At 35.8% G+C, this 6,194-nt stretch overlaps 1 annotated feature.

Moving 5' to 3' along the window:
- Window positions 661–3,266: an enhancer, noted in NCBI's record as "VISTA enhancer hs131". NCBI's record gives its function as "enhancer in: eye[3/4]" and the evidence as "EXISTENCE:transgenic organism evidence [ECO:0001131][PMID:17130149]".

A 6,194-nucleotide genomic window follows, 5' to 3' on the forward strand; every position in this document is an offset into this window, starting at 1 on the left:
TAAAAGACTTCATTTACAAAGTATATTACACAGGGCCATTTTCAGGCTCATATCGGACAGCCAATTTGTAATCCTGCTGCTCCTATGAAAGAAAAACTCCCGACCGTTCTTAAAGAACAGTCACAATTTGATTTAATAAATCCTGCATTTTGGAAAATTCAGACGGAAATAATACGTATTTCTCGCTTGCTTGGATGACACTACTTTGTACAAACTCTAAGTTGCCCAAAAATATATATATTTTAGGTCCTAATTTTACTCTCCAGATTTTTTCACTTAATTGATGAAGATATTTTATCTTTTATCCTGGTAATTCTTAACAACAGTTGGTATTCTCTATAAATTATAAAAATGAAAATATATTTAACAAAAACATGTAAATAAATTAGCAGAAGCATTTATAAGCATTATCACGAAACAAAACTTCAATTTACTTCAGATGTCGACGTTTTCAATACAGTGAGCAACTCTGCGATCGTTTATTATTAGTATTCTTTTGCACATATGATTTGTACAATTGGCTATGGATTCTATTTAATTTATAGTTATAAAACAGTACATCTTTAGGGGTAATGAAACAATAAGGAATAAAATAGCATGTACCTGCTTTAGAAAAGCTTACTATATAAGAGGAATTTCTAGGTGTATATATTATGAACAATTGGTCCAGTATAAGAAAACAGTAACATTTTACATACGTAATGTTTTCCAGAAATTTCCCAACTCTTTCTAATATGTACAATTCCCAAAATAAATGCAGAGCTAGTAGCTGTTCTGAGGAATCTTCAAGCAAATTTTTCAATACTAGCTTTGTTATTAATCATCCCAATTTTGTTCATGTTGTATTACATTGGGGAAAAATAGTTGTACAATGAACAAGTATACTACTAAACAAAATGCTCATCTTTTTCTTAAGAGTCAAAACGGAAGGCTAATAAAGACCATTTAAAATAAAAGGGCCCATTACTCCTCAGTTTTATATGAGCTTACATGCTTTCATTGTGCAGAGTGTGTTATTAATTTAACATGCCAGATTCATAGGTTTCTGCAATATCAGGTTTGATGTATTCATTATCGGCACTCAGTACATTAATTCACGCTGAAGTCCGGTAAATCAAAATTATACCATCTGGCTTCCTGTTCTTAATGATGAATTTGATGTAGGGGTGATTAAGATTGTTAGGCTTTTGAATTTTAATGTAAAAATTAGGGGATTAAAAAGGCATTTAGAAATGACCAATAGTTAGAATAAACTTACTGACAGGATCTAATTTGTGTACTTGCTAGTAAAGCTCCATTTTAATTAGCAGCCACAGTCTTTCAGCACAAGCTCAAAGAGACAGAAGTTTAGTGATTAAGAAGATGAAGCTGTTAAATTGATAAATTGACCTTGAAATACTTGTAACTGTGGGGGATGGCCCAGTAACTCAAACTGTTAGTGTGTTGCATTGCCACACGGGGAACTGAGTCCAAGAGTGACCCCGGACACTGAATTTTGCTTTTTTATTCTCTTCTTCCTCCTCCTCCTTCGTCTCTGTTTTTTAGTTGGCATGCACCATTCTCATCTTGCAGGTAGGGGCTGGAAATCAGAGATAAACAAATACAGAACTCTGCAGACGTATCAGTTGGCACTACAGTAGGAAGGTGAAGATTCCATCACTGTTTCAGAGCTCCTTGACAGGTGAATTTGAAAAGTATGTCTAAACCTGAAAGCATTGTATTGGTCCTCTAGGTTTCCTGCTATAATGATGCTATACACACGCAGTGAGGTGTCTGGGAGGAAGACACTCGAGGAGTGATTCACTCAGGAAATCTAGGGCACAGCCACCAAGAGTCCCCCTCTTTCACCATATTTCAAAAGAGGAGCTCCTGAAATGGAAGATTTTGAAATATCCACAACATAGAGATGTATATAACACACAGTCATTGCACTCAAATTTGACATGAGACTTCTTTTAATTGAAAGACCAATCTGACATGGATGTTCCTTTGACAGTTAAAATTACCTCTGATTTTAACAAAAGCACTTGAAATGTTACACCGAACTCATTACACCTTTTCTGCATAAAGAAGTTTAATAGTTAAAACAAGTTAAGACAGAATAGAATCTTAATGTACAATATTATTAGAATAATATAAAGAAACATCCTCATTTTTTCAAAGACATAGAGATAAAAGTGCAAAAAGCCATACAATAGAAAAGTAAGGTTCAAAATAGAATTATTTCCTGAGAAGGAAAAAAAAAATGACTACCTGGTGTGGTCTCATAAAATGAGGTGCCTTAGGTCCTGTGAAATTAATAAAGGTAGTCACTAATGCACTAAAATAAAATACAGTCAGAATGACTTACATCAGAAAACAAGTACATCTGTATATATCAACAATTTGAAGGATTCTGATTGCTGGCAAGTCAAGGAATATTTTAAATCTTATATTTTAGAGGAAATCGAATCTTGACTAACCACTGCAATTTATGTCATTTTAAATAAGATATATTTGAATAAGTATATTTTTCATGCCCTAAAAAGACTGATGTCTTCTTTTATAAGCTCATCCTGTGACACAGTTGAGTAGGTAGGTATATTGATTTTTTTTTCTTTTTCTGATGGCAATGAAGTGTAAATGGAAAATATCAGACTTGGCAATCACTTAAACCATGTGAAAATTTCAGAGTGAAGGCTATTAGAGTCACTTTGTGATCTCCCCAGATGACCAGAGGGAGGGGGGAGGGAAGAAAAAAAAACATTTCTACATTTCTTCATATCCTTTGTGTGACAGCTAAGGAGAATAACATTCTTTCTAATACGCCAGTTTTCGTCTCTAGTTGAGAATAACCTCAGTGCTTTCTTATGTCACTGGCTGAGAGAAGATGAAAGACCCAGCCTTGTGTAAATGGCTTTGTCTAACCATCAGTCTTTAGCTCTGCATGGCAGCTGTACTATTGACATTAGCTTGTGCACTGGGTGAAATTGAAGTGAGTTAAATGTGACCTTGGCTTAGTTGTTGAAGTAGAAATGAACTCTACTGGGAGTGAAAAAAAATAAGACCAGTTTCTCTAACTTCATTTTTTCTTTAATGAGTTTAACAGCACTCTTAGGATTTGATACATTTTATAAAAACGCTTTATTTCCTTTTCTATTATATACTGGGTAATCAGCATTTAGTAAGGTTAGCTTGCCCTTTTGTTATGAAATCCTTGTCTTAGGTATTTATATGCTATATTCTTTTTTAAATGGCACACTTATTTTCCCTTTCCTCCCTTTATTAGTCGTAACCACATAAATATGAACTGAAAGTTTTCAGGCATATATGTCCAGTGACTTCTTAATACATGCTAGACCACTGAAACATTTTTAAATGCTCAGTGTTTCTGATGACATTGCATTGTCTTGTCCACTAGGTTACATGTGCTCTCACTAAACAACCTGCTGGTAAATCAAGTGCAGTGAATATGTGAGACCTGCAGGTAGACAGGCTAGGCTGGAACACTTCTAACACTGCAGCTCCTTTGTTTTTCAAAAACAGCAGGAGATAGTGTTTGCATCACAGGTAAAACAGCATCGATTATATTTTCTGATGGAGACAATTCAGGAAGTCTTTGGAGTTTCATTTCTATTTTGAGTATTCCTAATGCATACATACATGTATATGCATAAATACACTGATTTTATGTTTATATGCATATATATTTATGTGTATATATATATATATATGTGTGTATAGGTGAGTGTGATATATGTACATATTATTTTAGCTTGCAATAATGATACATGAGCCACATCTCAGACATTTCAAGTTCAGTTATTGTCATGAAATTTATCAAAGATGCTCATGATGGGAGTTTTAATTAGCCTATCTAATTAAACTTGAGCCAGCACAATCTATTCTTATATTTTCCCATTCATATTTTACTAATACTGCATTTCTATCACTGGCCTATAGTGATATCACTGTTGGGTATACATGGAGCCTGCACATTCAGCTTCTGTCTTTAATCATCTCTATACTAATTTAACACTCCAAACATTTTTTTTTTAATTTTTTTTATTATACTTTAAGTTTTAGGGTACATGTGCACAACATGCAGGTTTGTTACATATGTATACATGTGCCATGTTGGTGTGCTGCACCCATTAACTCTTCATTTAACATTAGGTATATCTCCTAATGCTATCCCTCCCCGCTCCCCCTACCCCACAACAGGCTCCAGTGTGTGATGTTCCCCTTCCTGTGTCCATGTGTTCTCATTGTTCAATTCCCACCTATGAGTGAGAACATGCGGTGTTTGGCTTTTTGTCCTTGCAATAGTTTGCTGAGAATGATGGTTTCCAGCTTCATCCATGTCCCTACAAAGGACATGAACTCATCATTTTTTATGGCTGCATAGTATTCCACGGTGTATATGTGCCACATTTTCTTAATCCAGTCTATCATTGTTGGACATTTGGTTTGGTTCCAAGTCTTTGCTATTGTGAATAGTGTCACAATAAACATACATGTGCATGTGTCTTTATAGCAGCATGTTTTATAATCCTTTGGGTATATACCCAGTAATAAGATGGCTGGGCTAATTCAAGATGGATTAAAGACTTAAATGTTAGACCTAAAACCATAAAAACCCTAGAAGAAAACCTAGGCAATACCATTCAGGACATAGGCATGGGCAAGGACTTCATGTCTAAAACACCAAAAGCGATGGCAACAAAAGCCAAAATTGACAAATGGGATCTAATTAAACTAAAGAGCTTCTGCACAGCAAAAGAAACTACCATCAGAGTGAACAGGCAACATACAGAATGGGAGAAAATTTTTGCAGTCTACTCATCTGACAAAGGGCTAATATCCAGAATCTACAATGAACTCAAACAAATTTACAAGAAAAAAACAAACAACCCCATCAAAAAGTGGGCGAAGGATATGAACAGACACTTCTCAAAAGAAGACATTTATGCAGCCAAAAGACACATGAAAAAATGCTCATCATCACTGGCCATCAGAGAAATGCAAATCAAAACCACAATGAGATACCATCTCACACCAGTTAGAATGGCGAACATTAAAAAATCAGGAAACAACAGGTGCTGGAGACGATGTGGAGAAATAGGAACACTTTTACACTGTTGGTGGGACTGTAAACTAGTTCAACCATTGTGGAAGTCAGCGTGCTGATTCCTCAGGGATATAGAACTAGAAATACCATTTTCTTTTCTTTCACTCTGTTTTTGGTGAAATAATATCTTCCCAAAGATATCTACATTCAAATCCTTGGAACCTGCTAATATGTTTGTTACCTTATGTGGCAAAGGGACTTTGCAGTTGTGATTAAGTTAAGGATCTTGAGATGAGGAAGTTATACCTGATTACTGGCCATGTCCAATGTAATCACAATGGTCCTTATAAGAGGGGGACAGGGAGGCCAAAGTCAGAGAGGGAGCTGTGACAACAGAAGCAAGGTTGAAGTGGTGCAGGGCCATGAGCCAGGTTTCCAGCAACCTCTAGAAGCTGGAAAAGGCCAGGAAGGAAACAAATTGTCCCCTAGAGCCTCTAGAGGGAACACAGCCTGCCAACCTAATTTTAGACTTCTGATGTCCAGAATTGTAAGATAATAAATTTGTGTTGTTTCAAATCACTACATTTGTGATAATTTGTTACAACAACAAAAAACTAATACATTGATGAACATATATTTCGGTTATTTGTGCACAGCAATATACACTGGCATAGTTGCCAATCATTTAAGTCATTTGTTTAGTAATTACTGTTTTCTTACCTTTTCACATTCATGCTCAAGTAACTATAGAATTCATAGTTATCTTGTTTAGGAACGGTTCAATGGTAAATTTAAAAAAATCTCAAACAAGAAATCATCACAGTCTTTAGAAATAGATGACAAATTGGAAAGCCTGTCAGCAACTCTGCACGTACCTAGCCATAAAAAGAAAATGTCGTGACCATCTGCAGAAGGTCAAAACAGTGTGAACAGAGAAGTGGGAAAAAACCTACTTAAAGTGTTGTAGGACAACGCCACTGTGGATAGCTGGCCAGATACAATTCCTTCCAGAGCACAGGGTCAGAACTGTTTACGGTGGGCCTTTTAGGCAAATTGAAGAAGGGATGGGGCCAGGAGGTTTGTGATAGACCAAACCTGATACTGCTGACTCACACAGGGGTTTCTCAGGGGTTGGGCAACAGAA

Source organism: Homo sapiens, chromosome 13, assembly GCF_000001405.40.
Source record: "Homo sapiens chromosome 13, GRCh38.p14 Primary Assembly".
Taxonomy (NCBI): domain Eukaryota; kingdom Metazoa; phylum Chordata; class Mammalia; order Primates; family Hominidae; genus Homo; species Homo sapiens.